The sequence below is a fragment of the Homo sapiens genome, chromosome 5 (assembly GCF_000001405.40).
Source record: "Homo sapiens chromosome 5, GRCh38.p14 Primary Assembly".
Lineage (NCBI taxonomy): Eukaryota > Metazoa > Chordata > Mammalia > Primates > Hominidae > Homo > Homo sapiens.
In genome coordinates this window covers 59,975,129-59,996,988 of record NC_000005.10, presented here as the reverse complement: position 1 = coordinate 59,996,988, position 21,860 = coordinate 59,975,129, and the positions used below count along the sequence as shown (strand labels likewise).

At 36.2% G+C, this 21,860-nt stretch overlaps 1 protein-coding gene across 16 annotated transcripts in view; it reads left to right on the top strand.

Moving 5' to 3' along the window:
• Positions 1–21,860, top strand: part of PDE4D (phosphodiesterase 4D) — a 1,553,091-nt gene that overhangs the window by 525,140 nt on the left and 1,006,091 nt on the right. For 15 of the 16 annotated variants that reach the window (XM_024446112.2, XM_024446110.2, NM_001364599.1 and 12 more), the window contains one exon: positions 8,272–8,501. In XM_024446112.2, coding sequence (XP_024301880.1) covers positions 8,272–8,501 — 230 coding nt within the window. Of the gene's footprint in view, positions 1–1,181; positions 1,224–8,271; positions 8,502–21,860 lie in introns of those variants that run through there. The other variant, XM_017009567.1, reaches the window with a different exon arrangement.

Here is a 21,860-nt window from a genome sequence, read left to right as displayed (position 1 = left end):
TTTTGATGACTGAGTTATAGGAAATTGGCTTTAGAAGGACTTCAGTGATTTCTGTCTCTTCTAATCAGTATGAAATCACAGCCTATATTTGGATTATGCTCTGTGAATGTTTGAAACCTATCTGTTATCTTTGTGTTAACCTGAGGTAGAAATTTTCATTTTTATATAGAATTAGTTTTGCAAGAGTATCTTTTCTATATACAAATATCCATTTGAAAATTGATTGTGTTAAGTCGATACAATGCCCTTTTCTATATTAAAGGACAGGATGTTTATTGCCTTGACTTGTTTGTTTCCTGTAAAGTTATTTGGGCAATAATAGCATTCAGTTTTAAGATAAAACATACATAATAAGTAATGAGACAAGAGGAAAAACATTTGGCATAAGGCTTAGAGAAATTTAAGGCTCATTTTCCATTATTGCTTTAGTGCATTATTAACAATTTCATGGGGACATGAAAGACTAATATATGGAGAAAATGTCTGCTATTGGCATATAATATGTTAAGATTGCAAATATGACTTTTAATCCACTGTGATAATAGCCTATTAAATTGTATCCTAGTCCTTGAAGAGTCACTAACATTATCTTGTTTATACTACAAAATTAGGTACAGGGAAACTTTACTTTTACAGAACTTAATGTTGCATCAAACTAACTGGACAGGAAAAAAAAGGAATGTGGCATTGGAAGTGATAAAACAAAACACATCCTCTGCCTATGACTGTCTTCTTCCTGGACCTATCTGACTATTTAACATGCTGACCTTTACAATGCTCTGCATAGTGTAGGCTCACTGAAAGCACTGAGTGTCTGAAATCCTTCATTCTTATTTAAAACAAAATAGGTGAAAATACTTAATCATGATGTCTATATATTTGAAAGAATATTTGAACATGGGGAGAGACCCAACCAGTTTGAGTGGCTGAAGTTTTGGAATTTTTATAGAAATTCCCTATTATGTGTTTCAACTTTATGCCTGACTTATAATAATAGTTACAAATACTACATTGCTAGTAACACCAATATCTAATACCATTTCCTCTTTCCTAATTTCTTGCAGTTGAAGAAATGGAGATGAGTATGTCTATATGCTTCACTCTTTCCTCAGCAAGATTTATTTAGCATATGTTTTGTTCCAGGCACTGGCTAAGTGCTAGGGGTACAAAAGTTGTTTTGTCTCCCTTCCTTCCAGATGTGTCCATGTGTCCAGGCTAACAGAGTGAGTAGTCACACAGGCAAATCATTCTCCTACAGTTGTCAGGCTGAAGGCTGACTTGGTGTCATAAATAAAAAGGCAGAAGATATTTGTATTCATTGTCTTGGATGATATTTTCAACTTGAGTAGGCAGATTGAAAAGAAAAATGCGGCCGGGTGCAGTGGCTCACACCTGTAATCCCAGCACTTTGGGAGGCCGAGGCGGTGGATCACCTGAGGTCAAGAGTTTGAGACCAGCCTGGCCAACATGATGAAACTCCGTCTCTACTAAAAATACAAAAAATTAGCTGGGTGTGGTGGCAGGTGCCTGTAATCCCAGCTACTTGGGAGGCTGAGGCAGAAGAATCACTTGAACTTGGAAGGCGAGGGTTGCAGTGAGCTGAGATCATGCCATTGCAATCCAGCCTGGGCAACAAGAGCAAAACTCCATCTCAAAAAAAAAAAAAAGAAAGAAAGAAAGAAAAGAAAAGAGAAATGGTTGAAGGATAGCAGCTTGGACAATGCCTAGGTTTTAAAGACAGTTAATTGAGGAGCCAGCAATGAGACTAAATGAAAATGACTGGAGAAGCAGATAGACAGAAAGCAAAAATAAATGTCCAATTTATGGGGTGATCTACATCTTTTTTTGTCTGCAACAGTCCAGGTGTTCTCTTTTTGTCGATGTCACAACTGGCTAGCACTTTCTTTCAACTTGCAAAAGTGTTATGTACTCCAGTAAACCCTAAGTTCTCTGTTACAGCTTTGATCATATACTGGTGATTATCTGTCTATTATATTTTTCCTCAAATGAACTGTAAGTGCTTAAGCAAAAGGAGGTGCCTAATTCATCTCTGCATTTTCAGTACCCGACACAAGCATCAAAGGTAGTAGGTGCTCAATAAATGATTAATTGGGAAATTAATAGGAATGGAAACACAATTAAGATAGGTTGAACTCCTTTAGAGATATACACATAAAATAGTACTACCTGTAACAAGAAAATGCTAAATTTTTGTGGATTACCCCAACAGAAGATTATCTGTGGCTCGTGTACCCCAAATTAAGTGTTTCTGATTGGCAAGTGTCTCTCATGTAAATAATGATTAAGAAACCATGGCTTCTTCCATCTTGTGACTCTACCATCTTCAACACATGGTGAGGGGCTACAGAGGGGAAGAGAAATAGGGGGTTGTACTCACAAAATTTTTATGTGGCAGGCCTGAAAGTGGCACATACACAGACCCATACACATTTCCTTAACTTATAATCAATGAGCATGTAATGTAACACTCACTGACATCTCTATAGCTACCTGTAAGGGAGTCTGGAGATGTGGTCTCACTGCATGCCAAGAAAGAAACATTCTTTCCTGCAATGCCTATATATGTATATGTATAAATATATATATGTATATACATGTTTACATATGTATGTATATATATATGTGTGTATACATATACTGTATGTGTGTATATGTATATATACACACACACACACATCTTAAGGGGATTTTCTTATAGAAATTTTATTTCTCCCCCCTCTCTATATATATATGAAATAAATATCAGAGACTGTGAGATTATTAAGAACCACAGAAATTTATTTAACCCTAGTAATGTGCATGCCTGTGTTTTAAAGGCCATTAAGTAGTTTATTGTCTACTTTTGAAAGAAAAAAAATTAAACAAAGAAATTAATTAAATATCTTGGATAAAAACTGAAACAAACAAAAAGGAAAATAATAATAATAAATTTAACATTCATCCATTGTAAGTGTCAATTATTATGGAATTGCTTACTTTAGGCATGTATTTCAGAAAGAATTTTATGCAGTAAAAAGCATAACATTAAAGTTATTTGTCTGTCAATTATTCCATATAAGTTGGCTAATTTTTGAATATAATTTTATTTTACTACAAGGTAGCAGGTTCATATTACAGTTATTTCAATATGTGAGCATTTCTTTTATTTTGATATTGCATATCTTGAAGCCGAATATATTTCTAAGTCCCATCAATAGCAAGGTGAATGTTGTATCATTTTATTATTATGACTTTTATTATACTTTTAAAATTGAAAAACAAGACATCTTTATTATAGGGAATACAGAAGCTCATAATTAATAAAGATACTAAAACAAAATTATTACCAATATTGCACAGGAGAGCCATTTTAGAGAATTAGGATACATCCTTAAACAATTGTTTTATGAATATAATATGTGACTTTTTTGTTTTGTTTTGATATTATTGTTTTATAAAAATGGGAGCACTCTATAATCTGTTCTTCCCACTCAACATTGTGTCATTAACATGATTACGTATTCTTCTACATTATTTTAACAGCCTCATAGTATTTCATCATATGATGTATCAACATTTACTAAGCCAATCCTTCAGTACAGCAATTAGATTACATCCAGTTATTTGCTATTATAAATGAGCTGCAGTGAACATCTTTGTGCCTGGATATTTGCCAAACAGTTTTATTAAACTATGTCTAAAATGTCAAAACCATTAGTTCTCAAACTTTAATATGCACTGGAATGATACTGGTGACTTATTCAGACTCATAAGCCCTACTCATAGAGATTGTGTTTAGGAAGATCTGGAATAAGACCCGGGAGTCTGAATTTTAGCAAGCACCATCTATGATTCTAATGCAGAGGGTTTGAATGTCACATTTTGAGAAATAATGACTTGGAGACATTAGAAATACTATCTTTTTTCCATCTTCTCCCTGCCATAATGCCATTTTCTAACAATAACATAAGATACTTATTGCTCTGGTGATTAGTTTTACATCTCTCTCCAAAATAAAGGCATTTAACCTCTTACCTTCTACCTGATAAGGTTGTTCTTTTTATTTCTGAACCATAACTGATACACATTGATCTAGAGTGTGAAAAAAGCCTCTTATACTGTTTTGGAATGGAAAATGTTAGAATATAGCCCTCTAGTGCTTTATCATTTTTATTGTAAAGATAAAAGTATTTATAGAAAGTGGGTTTAAACTAACAGAGTATAAGCATGAGTGTAAACTTCATTTTTAGTAGAGATAATTATCTCAAAAAAGTTACGTCTTGAGGCAGTTTTATCTAAAAAAGAATGTCAAAAACATTAAGTCATTCAACAGATAACCTCAGTTATATAAAGCATTTTTGCAATTGCAATGCTAACACCCAGAGTAGGCAGCTAAATGCTTATAAAAAGATGTTAACTTTGGCCAGCTATATTTAGTGCTACTGAAGCTTTGCTAGACTCATCCTTTGTTCTTCTTTTCTATGTTCATCCAGAAGAAGAGTATTTACACATGTATTAGTCAGGGTTCTCTAGAGGGACAGAACTAATAGGATACATGTATATGTGAAAGGGAGTTTGTTAAGGAGTATTGACTCACACGATCACAAGGTGAAGTCCCACAATAGGCGGTCTGTAAGCTGAGGAGCAAGGAAGCCAATTCGAGTCCCAAAACTTCAAAAGTAAGTAAAGTGGCAGTGCAAGGATCCAAAAACCCATCACTCTGTAGAAGCATGTTGTAACATTTGATGATTCTATAATTCTCATCACACTCAAAAGTAGGAAAGCTGTTTTCAGTCTGTGGCTCAAGGCCCAAGAGTCCCTGGAAAACCACTTGTGTAGGTCCAAGAGTCCACCTGTTTAAGAACAGGAGTCTGATGATCGAGAGCAGGAAACATCCAGCACAGAAGAAAGATGCAGGCCAGAAGACTCCGGCATTCCAGTCCTTCCATGTTTCTCTGCCTGCTTTTAACCCAGCTGTGCTTGCAGCTGATTAGATGGTGCCTACCCACATGGAGGGTGGGTCTGACTCTCCCTGTACACTGACTGAAATGTTAATCTTCTTTGGTAACACCCTCACAGACACACCCAGGAACAATACTTTGTATCCTTCAATCCAATCAAGTTGACACTCAGTATTAACCATCACAACACATAAGTCATTAACTTAATCATGACCTGTTTCCAATCCAGGAATGAAGTTCTGTTCTTAGAGGAACTTCCTAAGTACATAAGTACACAGAGGCTCACTTTCCCAATCTAAAAGCTAAGACTGTTCCAAGTGCATATGCTTTCTGTTTTTTTCTATATTTGTTATCTCACAGAAACATTGATTTGCCATTGGTTCTTGCAAAATCAGTATTTTATAACTGGAGGTGGTGTTAAGGTTTATTTTGTATAACCTTTTGATTTTATCCCTATGGAGACTAAAGACCAGCAAGGTTAAGACCAGCAGATCTGGAACAGGTTATTATAGAAATTTGTATATTATGTTGTTGCTAGCAAATGGAATTATTGCAAGGAGATGATGGAAAAGATAGTATTTCTGATATCTCCAAGCCATTGTTTTTCAAAATGTGTTGTTCAAACCCTCCGCATTGGGATCAGAGGTGGTGCATACTAAAATTCAGACTCCCAGGTCCTATTCCAGATCTGCTGGTCTTAGCCTTGCTTGTCTTTAGTCTCTGCAGACAAAAAATCAAGACATTATACAAAATAAACCTTAAGACCCCTTCCAGTTATGAAGTACTCTGATTTTGTAACAACCAATGGCACCTCTTAAGACCACCTGAGTAATTACTGGCAGAGCAGGGGATAAAATTTCTATCCTCTCATTTAATGACAGATTGTCATTCATTTCTAATGTTTATGTAGGGCTGCTCTCATCTCAGTTCTGTTTAATTTTTCAAATGAAAATGTGAAGCTTATTGAGTTATGATCAATTAGTGTGTGTTCTGTTATTTTCTACTAATACTCACTCTGCCAGTGACTATACTTGTTAAGGTAGTGCAGCATGGTGGCTTTTAGCTCCAGTTTTAACTAGAAGAGATTTGGGTTTGGATCCTGACATGTAGGGTGATCAATCATCCTGGTTTCCTTGGGACTGTGGGGTTTCCCTGGACATAGGACTTTGAGTGCTAAAATCAAAAGGTCCCAGGCGAAGTAAGATGATTAATCACCCCACTAGCCATGTGGCTCTGTCATGATAGGTCTCTGGGTTTTTTAATGGGTAAAATTGGAAAAGCAAGAAGAAGTAACTCATAGGATTTTAGTAAAAATTAAATGAGACAGTATATGTAAAACACGGCACTACTTAATAAAGACTCAGTAAGTATTAGTCATTATTATTGATGTTTTATAAAGCAAGTAGATTCCTCAAAGCACAGATTCTCAGAATTTAGGATTTGAAATAAATGAACTTTCTTTTTAGCTTTGACCTCTTTTTTTTTGTTTGTTTTTTAAATCTTCTCAGTACCCTTCTGTCGTCTTGTCTATACAACTGGACAATACAACCCAAGGTTGGATAGAGTCCACCATCTCACATCCTTTTACCTTTTTTCAAGATATAAATCAGGAAGACAAAAATTTTCTATTTGGGAATCAATGTGAAGAGTGAGCATCAAAGACAGCATAGAGCTATGGAGAAAGGGGAAATTAGCCTGGATTATAATAACAGCTGCCATTTTGTTGAGTGCAAACTCTTTGCCAGATATTGGTGCTTCAAATACTTTATATATTTGGTCCACACAATGACTCCGAGAGGTAAATATTATTATCTCAGTCTTCAGATGGAGAAACAACCTCAATGAGCCTAAGTGACTTGCCCAAAGATAGTTGTATAGTAAGGAGTGTAATAAATGAGGTCTGGATGTTCCAAGCTCGATGAATGTCCAACTTTCAGCCAGCTGGTTAATTTTGAGAAATATAAACTTCTTCACCTGTAAAACTCAGAAGGGAAGGAAATTGCCATATATGAGTGCTAATCCCAATGCAAGTAATGAACTATGCACATCATATGCATGATCTCATTTAATTCTTGTATGTAAATATTAGTCCCATTTTTATAATAAAGAAACAGAAGCCTTAGAGAGACTAAGCAACACACTATCAATACAAATAGTAAAGTGGCAGTGCAAAGATTCAAAAACCCAACACTCTATAGAAGCATGTTATAACATTTGGTGATTCTATAATTCTCAGTATGTGGATATAATAAATATTGCTAGAGTAGACTTTCCAGCCATTTGGAAATAATTATTGCTCATGTGATAGTATATTTTTCTCAACTAGAATCAAAATATTAACTTTTGACCTGGGTTTACCTTTGCATGTGGATAACATGGATCAAATTTGCAAAATTCTGCTGAGCTGTGACTTAAATACAGTTCTACTGGGTCCTCAAGTTTCTTTTAAAGTCTTTTTTTTCTTACTACCCTCTCAGTCTTATAAAAATTGGCAAGAGTATATCTGAGTAAATGTGACATATGAAAACATATGTTTCAAATATGGCCTTAAATATGCAGAAAAAATAGGACTTTTCTTCCTCTCTCTTCATGGGCATGCATGTAAGAAAGATATATATAAATATACAGTCATGTGCTATATAACATTTTAGTCAACTATGGACCATACATACCATGGTGGCCATAAGATTATAATACTGTATTTTTACTGTATCTTTCCTATGTTTAGATATACTTAGATACACAAATATTTCCCATTGTGTTATAATTGCCTACAGTATTTATTACAGTAACAATGTACCATCTAGGTTTGTTTAAATACACTGTGATGTTCACACAAGGAAATTTCCTAATGATGCATTTCTCAGAATGGATCATTATCAAGTGATGCATAACTGTATGTGTGTGTGTGTATATATATATATATATATATATATATATGACACATGCATATGTCAATGTATATATTTAATGATGTTTGCAATTCATTTCATAGAAGTTATAAAAACATTTTGATTTATCCTTGATTTTATAGAATTCACACACAAAGCTAATAAATTCTAAGATTACTGAAGATGTTAGTTAACTGTTTTAACCAAGCCACACCTGGTGAACAAATTTGCTATTTTAAAAATAAATTTAGATTTTAGTTAATCAAATATTGTTCAGTTAATGTCACTGTTTTCTAGATAGCATTTTTCATGTATACATTTTACTTAATTTCTTTCCCAGGAAAGTATTAAGCCATTATGTAATGATAAACAGTGTGATTTTTGTTGATTATATGTACTTTCTTGAATTATTACCTCAGGCCTCTGAGGAAACACTACATTCCAGTAATGAAGAGGAAGACCCTTTCCGCGGAATGGAACCCTATCTTGTCCGGAGACTTTCATGTCGCAATATTCAGCTTCCCCCTCTCGCCTTCAGACAGTTGGAACAAGCTGACTTGAAAAGTGAATCAGAGAACATTCAACGACCAACCAGCCTCCCCCTGAAGATTCTGCCGCTGATTGCTATCACTTCTGCAGAATCCAGTGGGTGAGTGCCCTCAGATGTCATTTCCCCATTTTATATTTTAGATGGTGATTGTTGTCTGTGGTCTTTTGAGTTTTTGTGGCTCATTGCTTGATTTGAGTGGGAGAACAATGGGGTTTCTAGAGTCAAAAAAAAAAGGATGAATTTCTCAGGTGACATTTCTATATCTGCAGGAGAAGACATTTTAGTGAAATTGTTTTACATGGAAGAGCTGAAAATGTATTGGTGAATGCTAATAAACATTTGCCAAAGGGCAGTTGTACTTGGAAAATTAATATTGGCCATATGTGACTTGATAGAAGACATTTTAACAAATGAGAACTAATGGACAAATTACCATGTAGTGATACATGTCTAGAAACAATAGGAAATGTTCACTGATGCAAAATGAATTTGGAATCAAGAATAAATTGTATTGTAATTAGAATCAAAAGAAATATGCAATGGTATTCATGAGTCTAAAAATTTTGCCTTTGACATTTTGAGGTATTGCTTACCAGAATACTATTTCAGCTCCCAGTATAAGGTGATTTTATTTAGCATTAGTACTTATAGAGGAGTCAGCCACAGCCACGTCTCCATCATGTAACATTTTTATTTCCTACTTTGCAGGGTATAATTTTTGTTTTTATTCTTTTTCGTGTTGTTTACCAATGGAGTTTTACACTTTAAAGCAATGTCACCAGTTTAAAAATTGTGAAAGAAAGTAAGGATATTGGGCACATCAATTATTTGTTCTTGTGACCAGCTGCATTTTTAAGAAGCCTGGATAGAAAGGAAAGAGGATGAAGCCAGTGGGCCATACATAGATAGACTCTTGAACATTTGCTAAAACTACAAGAACAAAACAATTACTATGCTACAAATGTGATGGTCCCACATTCTCTGCCAAGTTAAAGGCATCTCTGGGGAAAATGTCTTTTGGATCTTGTTAAAGTTAGGAAGGTTGTGCTCAGAGGAAATTTGGCTAGTAACTCAACTCAAAGATACTGAATTTAGCTGTTTTACTTGTTATTGACCAGTCTAAGGGACCTGTGTTAGAAAAAGGTATGAGGAAAATACTACTAGATAAATAATAAGAAAACAAATATTCACCTTGAAGCAATGAAAAGAGGAAATATATTTTGTTTCTGTTGTTGTAATTGAACTATGTGTTTAAAGAAGAATGCACACACATTGATCAGACTCATACTAAAGCAGATGGGAATTTTATATGACAGCTTGACCTGAACATTTTTTGAAAAATGCTGTTCCCCTGAAACTATTTCTCCTTTCTTTGGAAATAACATTGCTGCCGTTCATTCTGTGTAGAAGAGATTCACAGATATCAGGTGTATCCAGGGATCCCAAGATCACCCTCGGGTTCAATGATTTGCTAGCAGAGCTCTCATAATTCAGCAAATAGTCATATTCATGGCTCTGATGTGTTATAGCAAAAGGATTCAATGCAAAATAAGCAAAGGGAAAGGTAGATGGAACAAAATCTGGAGGAAACCAAACATAAGCTTCCAAGAGTCCCCAAGTGAAGTAAGACAAGATACACTTAATTCCTCCAGTAATGAGTTGAGACAACACTTGTGAAATGTGTTCACCAGGGATGCCTTTACCAGGGAAGCCTATTAAAGACTCAGTACCTAGAGTTTTTACTGGAGGCCAGTCACTTAGGTACCCTCTGCCTAGGATATACAAACTTCCAGATTTCCAGAAGGAAAGTGGATATGCAGCATAAACCACATTATTTGCACAGACAGTTTAGGCAAATTGAGCCAGTCTTACCATTTAGAGAATGGTGGATCACTCCTGAAAGTCAGGTCTGCTAAAGGCCAATGTTTCAAACAGGTCTTCCTATATTTAATTGACACAGTCCTGATTAACTGTTTACTACACACCAGGTTATCTTAGAATAGTTATCTTACTTTCTTCACACTTGTGGAAGAAGAGATTATAATTAAAATTAAAATGCACTAATTTAAAGCCCTGATATATTCAATTAGCTTTGGTATCTCAAAAATTTTGGTTGCTAACCATGATTTCTCATTTTGAGTTGGTGTTATATCATGTGCCCTTAAAATAAAATGATGCAATATACCTAATATATCTCTATGTAGTTGGATATTGTGTGTAATCTAAAATCTTGAGCTGGGCGCAGTGGCTCATGCCTGTAATCCCAGCACTTTGGGAGGCCGAGGCAGGGATTGATTGACCTCATGAATTTGAGGCAAGCCTGGGCAACATGGCAAGACCTTGTCTCTATCAAAAACACAAATAAATAACTGGGTGTAGTGGCATGCGCCTGTGGTCCCAGCTACTCAGCAGGCTGATGCAGGAGGATCGCTTCAGCCTGCTTGAAGGCAGAGGTTGCAGTGAGTCAAGATCCTGCCACTGCACCCTGGCCTGGGTGTCAGAGAGAGAATGTATTGCTAAAAACAGTTTCCAAGTGCCAAGGAACTTCAGGGTTCCGAATTGTCTATGTCCCAGCATTTCTGTTGATTCACATTCATTTCCATCTTCATTAAGATTTAAGAATCAAGTACAATTGACCCTTGAACAATACAGGTTTGAACTGCACAGGTTCCTTTATATGAGGATTCTTTTCAACCAAACACAAATGGAAAATATAGTATTCCTGGGATGTGAAACTCATGTATACAGATGGGCTGACTTTTCATATATGTGGGTTCCACAGGGCCAATTGCAAGAATTGAGTATGCATGAATTTTGGTACATGTGGTAGACCCGAAACCAATCCCCTACATATACCAAGGAATGACTATGTAAGCAATGTCATGCTTACTATTTACAAATTTATCCAATATTATGAAGAAAATAATTTTTCTTTTTGAAAGATGGAACAAGGGTTTCATTTCAAAAGAAACAATAGACAATAATGGCCAATCAACAAGAACCAAACTAAGTAGATATTAAAGGTATTGTTATTACATTTGGAAGCCAGAACAATTTGCGAATTGAATATTGAGGACTAGAAAATTCAGGAGTATAACTTTCTGGAATGTCGAAGCTTTGGAGGAGAAGTAGAAGGTAAAGTGCGGGGCCAGGTGCAGTGGCTCACGCCTGTAATCCCAGCACTTTGGGAGGCTGAGGCGGGCAGATCACAAGGTGAGGAGATCAAGACCATCCTGGCTAACACGGTGAAACCCAGTCTGTACGAAAAATACAAAAAAAAATTAGCCGGGCTTGGCAGTGTGTGCCTGCAGTCCCAGCTACTCAGGAGGCTGAGGCAAGAGGATGGCGTGAACCCGGGAGGCAGAGGTTGCAGTGAGCCGAGATTACGCCACTGCACTCCAGCCTGGGCGACAGAGTGAGACTCTGTCTCAAAATAAAAAACAAAAAACAAAAAACAAAAAACGAAAGGTGAAGTTCGGGCTTATATTCTGTAGCCATTTTAGTTAACCAGGAGCCCCAGATTCCTTTACAGCTGTCAGAAAGAGCTAATGGGAAATTTAGCCTATTTTAACTGAGTTGTCTCCAGCCCATTGCCTCATTATTAAAGGTTAGTATGCCTTTAAGTCCCATTGCCAACCTATACTGAGACCATACCTTAGCAATTGCAAATCTTTGATGGTCAAGGCGACTTTTCATGCCCTCCAGATTTATTTTCCTTTCTTTCTTAACATCATAGCCTTTTGCTCTTTCTTCTGGCATATCAGTATGCCAGATACTTTCTTTGTCAAGTGTCAGGCAGTGGGTCTAGAGACTTGTACCACCCCTTTAGAAAGCCACAGTATGGCCCTGAGAATCATTAGTTTCTGAAAAAGAACTTTGATGTGCAGAAATAAGTGTCGTAGATGACAGCTATTAGCTTCCTCATGAAGTACTTGGGTCAAGAGACTGAGTTCAAAAGGACTTTTAGTTATTCACACTTCCATATTTCTACTTTGACTTTTTTTCCCAAGCAATGCGAATGTGTTCAAATGTACACTTTTTAACAATTTCTTTTGAGTATGCCCAAACTGTTAGGTTGTGTGTATGCTGTGATTTAGCAAACTTAAGAAACTGTAAATGAACAGAAAACAGAATTATTAAGACCTGGGATGCCTATAACCCTGAATTCATCTGCCAGTTAACTTTCTGTACAGGGTAGGCGAATTCAGGCTTCATGGCTGTTTACTGACCTTCCTCGAAGTAAGAGAGACAGCTATTAATGACTTGAAATGTTATGAACGTGGCATAGAAGTAATTTGGAAAGTCAGTTTTTCATATTTTCCTCCTAAATAATTTTCTATTACCTTTCATAAAATCTTTTTATTAAGGTATAATTTACATGCATTATACATCTTGAATTAATATGTATTTATACTGTCATGTAATCACCATCCTATTTCTCAACTGATCACTAAAGGTTATTTTGCCTCCTCTTGGACTTCACATAAATGGAATTGTACTGTATGTACTTGTTGTGTCTGGCTTCTATTAGTCAAAATTTTTTTTTGATATCCATGTTTGTGTATATCTCAGCAGCTTGTTTTTATTGCATAAATATAGCATAATGTATTTATTTTTACTCTCTTACTAATGAACCTTTGGGTTGTTTCTAGTTTGAGGGGATTATGAATGAAGCTGCTATGTACACTTATACCAGTCTTTTTGTGAATATATGCACTCATTTCTTTTGGGTATATTCCCAGGAGTAGCATTTCTGAGTCATAAGGAGGCAAATATTTATTTTCATTACTGCCCAACAGTTTTCTAAAGTGTTGTACTCTTTTACCCTCCCACCAGCAATACGTAGTAGGTACAGTTGTTCTACATTCTCACCAACACTTAGTATTTTCAGTCTTTTTCATTTTGGTCATTCTGGTGAATGTGTAGTGGTATACTACTGTGGTTTTAATTTACATTTCCCCGATGAGTAGGAATATTGCTTACCTTTTGATGTGTTTATTGAACATTTGGATATCTTCTTTGTGTTATGACCATTCAGACATTTGTTCAGTTTTTATTTTACTTATTGATTTCTGAGGGCTCTTTGTATATTCTAGACATGAGTATTTTGTTAGACATGTGTATTATAAAGTGAATATTTTGTTCTAAACAGTGTCTTGAATTTTTACTTTATGTTTACTTTGAATATGTTGGTAATCCTAGGGACCTGTGAAATATGAGGGAAGTGTGCAGCAGGGAGAGGAAACTGTAAGGCAAGAAGTGGACCCACCTTAATAAGGGGAAAACAAGAATGACATTTAACCTGCAGAGCAATTTCACTTGGAGACAAGGACAGCTGGTCCCTTGAATATTGGATGGTGGCAAATAAGACATCCAAGCACTAAGAGGGCAGGCAGAGAAGAGTTGAGAATGAAGCAACAGCATGCTTATGGTGGCTGATGGCCGGGTAGTGAGTAGACAAGAGTGGGGCTCTGGACATAGATGGTCTGAATTTGAGTCCTGTCTCCCACCTACTACCATCTTGTGAAGGTACTTAACCACTCCAAGTTCCTAATTTTAAAAAAGCAAAAGTAGGAATAATGCGAGCACCTACTTCATGGGTTTGTTCTAATGGTATACTACCTATCCCCATTTTTCACATATTGTGAATACTTAATATATAACATCAAAAACTGCAACTCCTATGCTGGGAAAATATTAGAACAAATAATGTTTGTTGTTGTTAATATTTGTTTACTTATTGGAATTGGCTTCAGAGATACTCTACAAATAACTCTTGGGGTAGAGATGGATGTTCTAGCAGATTTGGGAGTCAATCAGAAATTGGCTCCTGTTTCAGAAAGTTACAGTTATTATGGACTTGTGACATTTCTGTTCAGAAGTCTGTATCTGGCATCTTCCCGCACACATGTCTTGCTTTCAAGTGCTGTTCAGTTATGTTTGGAATGAGAATGGTGGTCTCCCTACTTCTGCTTCACTTCTTCCACAACCTTGCTGACTTCTAAATAGTTTCCTGCTTAGAATCCTTAGGAGGAATTAGGATCTCCTTTCAGCCCTATCTTGGGCACTGACTTACATTCCCACATGTGGTCCATGTGCCCCTAGACAATCTAAGGAGAGTCTAGCTTGCCACACATGTGGAAATCATTCCCAGTTCACAGGTGGGAAGTTATGGGAATGAAGAAAATGTGGGGGAGGTAGCAATAAAACTCTCTACTTACATTTCATTGCTGCATCTGCTATAATAAAATGAGAGCCAAGAGCAACTTATTCCCTTGTGACATGATGACACACCTCTGGATAGATGTATATTCAGGGATATGGGTGGGTGGAGAATGTTACAAACACTTTCTCATCCCTAGTATCCTATTACCTGTCTGAAGAAGTACACTGTGTACCTTCGTATCACTATGTCCTATAAAAAAAGAAAATGAAAAGAATGTAAAAGAAGACATGGTCACTTTTGGGGATAAATTTAACTACCCAACAGAGAGAGAAGAATTACTTTATTCATATAAGGGTTCATTTTACAAGGATCTTCCAGAAATATTTCCTTGATTTGTGTGCTATTCACAGAGGGACTGGTCACAGATGCCAGTTAGACATTGGATTCTTTGACTAACCACTCTTCATCTTGTGCTCTTGAGTACAAACAGTACGTTAGAGAGAACATTAAAAAAAAGATTGTTTTCAGCAATTTATTCCTGAATCAAAATCCAAACAGAAAATAAAAAAGGAAAAACAGAAGGCTGGATCAGACACATCTGATCTTTCAAATTTGGCCTTTTAAACTTAAGAAGGTATTAATGGGCATTTCATATTTTAAATAATTTGGATATAAGGGTGTTTATAAAGCTAGAGATTGTATTTCACAGTCTACCATGAAGCCTGTACCTTCATGTTTGATGTATGTTCAAGCTTTAAGTGATTTATCTAAGTTCTTATTGAATGTTATATGGAAGATCTATAACCCACTAGGCAAAGCTTCCCAAAATTGAAAATAAAACACATAATCATGATTGTGAAACATTCTGTAGAAATATAGTATTCTTGAGCTAGATGAAATTTTAAAAGTAATCAATGCCAAAAATTGGGAAACAATACTTCCAATAATCTTGAAGATGCATACTAAGCAGACAAAATTGGATTCTTTTGGTTTTGATTGATTTACATGCAATTTATGATTGTAGTGTTTATCTAAACTTCTCAGGATACTCACAAAATATCACAAGCCTTTTATTTTAAAGCATTGTTCTGATTTAATCTTATCTGTCTTTGCCTTAAACTTTGTAAATTTGTGATTATTTTTGTTTTGTTTTGTTTTGTTTTGTTTTTGAAACGGAGTCTTGCTGTGTCACCCAGGCTGGAGTGAAATGGCGTGATCTCGGCTCACTGCAACCTCCGCCCCCCAGGTTCAAGCGATTCTCCTGCCTCAGCCTCCCAAGTAGCTGAGACGACAGGCATGTCCCACCACACCAGGCTAATTTTTGTATTTTTAGTAGAAATGGGGTTTTGCCATGTTGGCCAGGCTGTTCTCAAACTCCTGGCCTTATGAAATCTTCCTGCCTCAGCCTCCCAAAGTGCTGGGACTACAGGCGTGAGCCATCATGCCTGGCCCCAAATTTGTGATTTTCAAGATTAAAATTAGATTCTAAGAGTGATGGAGCACTTTAAAATATCTGGATAAAAATCATCTTATTTCCAGAATCAGGGCAATTCTTGAATCTAATCTAAAATAAGCAATGTAAAAATGCTGACTTTTTTCTCACCTATCATAGACTCTCTAAAAGGTTTATGCTATATCTGCCATGCCTTCAATTTACAAAATAATATGATCATGATTAAACTCCAGTGTCTTTTTCAGGTTATCACAGTACCTTTTCATTATTGTAGTACATTCTGGTGTCCCCATTAAGGATATGCTGAATGGACTGATACTATACCACAGTATTTTACTTTATATCTGTGTGTCAGTAAAGCAGCATGTACCAGGGGAAGGTTTACCTTTAGAAATCAAAGGCTTCTATTTCACCAGGCTCCCACGTTGTTAAAAACACTAAAGAGGGTGACAACTTCTGCGTTCACCAACATCAGAGCATCTAGTCCCTATTTTCAAAACTTTCTTGTGCCAATATGACTTGTTTTAGTAATAGAGATTGGTTGGGGAATCCCATATTTTTTAAGGCAAACCCAAGGAAGCATTTATTTTACCGTGAAAAGTGCTAGGGCACAATACTATATTAAGCACAAGGCAGAACTCAACAAAGCCCTTTCCTTTGATTATTTCCATCACTCAATAATAATTGTTCCACTCCATAGATAGTTTCTTTGCAACAAACACTGCCCTGGCTGACCATCCTTCTGTAATGCAGAACTGTGAATCACTGAAGTGTTTAAGGAGAGCTTATAATTCTTTAAAAGCCTTTTTATTCTGTTTTACAGTATTTGTGTTTATGAAAAAAATGCAGGTAAAAATATTCTGACCAAATTGTATTTGTTTAATTATTATGTATTGCATAATGTATAATACTGATTCAAACTTAACATGACCAGAGTGCATTGCTTGGAGAAATCCAAAATGAAAAATATATTTTCAGTTGAAATTCATTAAAGGATGAAGTAATCAAACTTTTTTTCTCTACAAATGAGCACTACAAAATGGCAAAAGTTTTCTTTTAAAAAATCTGTATATAGAAAAAAACTATAGAAAAAATATATCACTTCTTGGGTTAAACACACTTCCCCCCAACCAAAAAAAAATTCTAGGTACTTAGAATTCTTTCTAGAACTTAGAATTTCCATATTATTTTTCATCCCATTTCTCTCATTCATTTAGAATCTGCCCTCCAGTTGAAAGGAAGTAGATGGAGCCGGGCACTTTTAGATTATTTCAAATCTGAGGAATTCAACAAAAATAAATGCTATTTAGTTATGTTGTTTGAAGTCATGTATGCAACATATCTGGATGATGGGTCAACTTTGTTTAATAGATTAGCATCATTTACACTGAAGTTCGTGGCTCTGAGCTTCGTTAAAGTGAGACCTTTGTCCACATTCCCAGGAGGGCTTTTTCTCAGGGGGTTCTGAATTTTACCATGACGTAATTCCTAAACAGTTGTGATTAGTGCTAAATGTTATCATAAACACACACACACACACACACACCCCTTGCTGTGTGAAAGCTAGATATAGATATTAAAAACTTTAGAATACTTGTTTTTTAAATATGTAATTTATAATATATAAATAATATTTAGAATATAAAGTTTATAATACATAAATACTATACTTCTTTACCATTCACTTTCTAGAACTTTCCCAGCTTTTGATCACATATTTCAAGGGTGGTCTCCCTCTTTACTCCTCTACTAACTCTTCTGTGTCTCAGTTAACATGTGATTTTGGCTTTCTTATTTCTCCAACATTATTTAATTCAGACTAACTTTATTTCTTGAAGGTATATACCAGACATACCTCGGAGATATTGTGGGTTCAGATCCAGGCCACTGCAATAAAGCAAATATCACAATAAAGCAAGTCACACATACTTTTTGGCTTTCCAGTGCATATAAAACTTATGTTTACACTATATTGTAGTGTGTAATAGCATTGTCTCTAAGAAAACAATGTACATGCCTTAAGTAAGAAATACTTAATTGCTAAAAAAAAAAATGCTAACAACCATTAGAGCCTTCAGCAAGTCAGAAACATTTTGCTGGTGGAGAGTCTTGCCTCAATGTTCATGACTGCTGACTGATCAAGGTGGTGGTTGCTGAAGATTGGGGTGGCTGTGACAATTTCTTAGAATAACACTACAGTGAAAATTGCCACATCCATTGATTCCTCCTTTCATGAACAATTTCTCTGTAGCATGCAATGGTGTTTGACAGCATTTTACCCATAGTAGAACTTCTTTCAAAATTGGAGTCAATCCTCTTAAACGCTGCTGCTGGTTTATCTACTAAGTTTATATAATATTTTAAATCCTTTGTTGCCATTTCAACAATGTTCACAGCATCTTTACCAGAAGTAGATTCTGTCTCAAGAAACCATTTTCTTTGCTTCATCCAAGAAACAACTCCTCATTCTTTCAAGTTTTATCATAAGATTGCAGTAATTTCATTACAACTTCAGGTTCCATTTCTAATTCTAGTTCTCTTGCAATTTCCAGCACATCTGCAGTTACTTTCTCCACTTGAACCCCTCAGAGTCATCCATGAGGGTTGGAATCAATTTCTTCCAAACTCTTGTTAATGTTGATATTTTGACCTATGCCTATGGATCACAAATATTCTTAATGGCATCTAGAATGGTGAATCCTGTCCAGAAAGTTTTCGACTTACTTTGCCCTGATCCATCAGAGAAATAAGTGTCTATCATAGCGATAGCCCTATGAAATGTATTTCTTAAATAATAAGGCTTAAAAGTTGAAATGACTCCTTGGAACATGGGCTTCAGAATGAATGTTGTGGTAGCAGGCATGATAACATTAACCTCCTTGTGCATCTCCAGCAAAGCTCTTGAGTGACTAGGTGCATTGTCAATGAACAGTCATATTTTGAAAAGAATCTTTTTTTCTGAGCAGTATGTCTCAACAGTGGGCTCAAAATATTTAGTAAACCATGCTGTAAACAGATACACTGTCATCCAGTCCTTATTTTTTTATTTATAAAGCACAGGCAAAGTAGATTTAGCACAATTCTCAAAGGCCCTAGAATTATTGGAATATTAAATGAACATTGTCTTCAACTTAAAGTTACCATCTGCATTAGCTCCTACCAGGAGAGTCAGATTTTCCTTTGAAGCTTTGAAGCCAGGCATTGACTTTTCCTCTCTAGCTATGAAAGTTGTAGATGGTATCTTCTCCCAATAGAAGGCTATTTTGTCTCCACTGAAAATCTGTTGTTTAGTGTAGTGCCTTCATCATTGATCTTAGTTAGACTTTCTGGATAACTTGTCACAGTTTATACATCAGCACTTGCTGCTTCACTTCACACTCCTTTTTTTTTCCAGCTTTTATTTTAGGTTCAGAGGGTATTTATGCAGCTTTGTTAAATGGGTAGCTTGTGCACCCTGTACTTTTATGTATTGGAGATGGCTTCTTTTCTTTAAACATCATGAACCACCCTCTGCTGGCATCCAACTTTTCGTCTGCAGTCCTTAACTCTCTCAGACTTCATTGAATTAAAGAGAGTTAGGGCCTTGTTTGGGATTAGGCTTTGGCTTAAGGGAATGTTGCGGCTGGTTTGATCTTCTATCCAGACCACTGAAGTTTTCTCCACATTATCAATAAGGCTGTTTGGCTTTCTTGTCATTTCTGTGTTCACCAGAGTAGTACTTTTAATTTCCTTCAAAAGCTTTTTCTTTGTATTCACAACTTGGCTAACTGGTACAAAAGGCCTGGCTTTCAGCCTGTCTTGGCTTTTGACATGTCTTCCTCACTAAGCCTTATTATGTCTAGCTTTTGACTTAATGCGAGAGACCTGTAACTCTTCCTTTCACTTGAACACTTATAGGCCATTGTAAGGTTATTAATTGGCCTAATTTCAATATTATTGTGTGTCAGGGAATAGGGAGACCTGAGGAAAAGAGAGAAATTGGGGAATGGCCAGTCAGTGAAGCAGTGAGAATACATGCAACATTAATCCATTAAGTTTACTGTCTTACATGGGCATGGTTTGTGGCACCCCAAAAATTAAAATAGTAACATCCAAGACCACTGATCACAGATCACCCTAGCAGATATAATAATAATGAAAAAGTTCATAATATTCTGAGAATACCAAAATATGACATAGAAACACAAAGTGAGTACATGTTATTGGAAAAAATGGTGCCAATAGACTTGCTTGATGCAGCATTGCCACAATATTCAATTGGTAAAAGCACAATATTGTGAAGTGTGATAAAGCAATGTGTTAGTCTGTTTTGCATGGCTATAAAGGAATACGTGTGACTGGCTAATTTACAAAGAAAAGAGATTTATTTGGCTCATTGTTTAGCAGGGTGTCTGGGCAAGGCACCAGCATCTGCTTGGCTTTTGTGAGGCTTCAGGAAGCTTTTATTCATGGCAGAAGGTGAAGGGGGAGCAGCTTTGTCAGATGACAAGAGAGGGAATAAGAGAGGGGGCAGGTGCCATATTCTTTAAACAATTAGATCTCACAATAACTCATGACCACAGGGAGGGCACCAAGCCATTTATGAGGGCTCTGACCCCATGACCCAAGCATCTCCCACTAGGCCCACCATCAACATTGGGAATCAAATCTCAACATGAGATTTGGAGGGTATAAATACCCAAACCATATCAAGCAAAGCACAATAAAACAAGTATGCCTGTATTTATACACATATTACAAAACAGAATTAAAAACAATAAAATCATACATGCAAGGGATTCTGGTAAATATACTGATCCCCTCAATCATGCATTAGTCATATATTAATGTATTCACTTTATATTCAACCAACAAATAGTGAGAGTCTGATATTTGCTGTATACTGAGGTATGCACTGGCGACCCAAGGCTCAACAAGACAAAACACAGCCTTTTCTTTCACAGGGGATTGAATCAAGTAGGGCACGTGCAAGAAAATAGACCACTATAATCTTGTTTGTTTCATATAATGTACAAATATGACTGCAGACAAATGGAGAAATATGAAATCTCACTGGGGAGCAAACTCACTTTGGCTTGTGAGGAACTAACACCTAACCTGAGACCAAAATAAGATGGTTCCAGGAAGAGAGAACAGCAGGTCAAAGTCCAGGGATGAGATTAAAGTAGAGTGTCTGCACTTAGCTAAATAAAAACTGCTAAAACATGGCTAGACCAGAATGCCAATTGAAGGTACAGTTGATAAAACTTACCATTAACTTTTCATGTAACCAATATGTGAGGTTTTGTAATATTTTCCAGTATGCTAAGCAGCTATGATATAAACACTGAAAAGGCAAACAGTTGGATTATTCCAAAATTGGAAAGCAGGTGCAATATAAGAAAAATAGGGCAAGGGATTTGAAGGTATTTGAAAGAAAGTGATAGAAATGATGAATTGTGGCAACTTAGCTGGTTATGGAAATGAGTGAATATAAGAAGATACTGATATAGAAAGTATTCAAGGTCTCTAGAAATCTCTATGATGTCAAACAGGTGAATTAGAATAACTGAGCAAACAAAAGATAGATCATATTTGGAGGACAGAATGAACTTTAAGATGTAAGTGCTAGAGGTAATTTAAGGTATGTTCAAGACATAGAAGGGTGTCAGGGAAGAGGGTGACTGCCTTGGAAAAGATGTAGCTGAGGAACTGAGAGATCGGGGCATGAGGTGATGCCTCCACATCAACATCAAAGTCACCCAGGACTGCAGCAGGATTCAAGCTGTCAAGATGACAAAAAGGTGGGCAGTTTTCAGTGAATGAGAAACTGACCAAAGGGACTGGCAGAAGTCAGAGA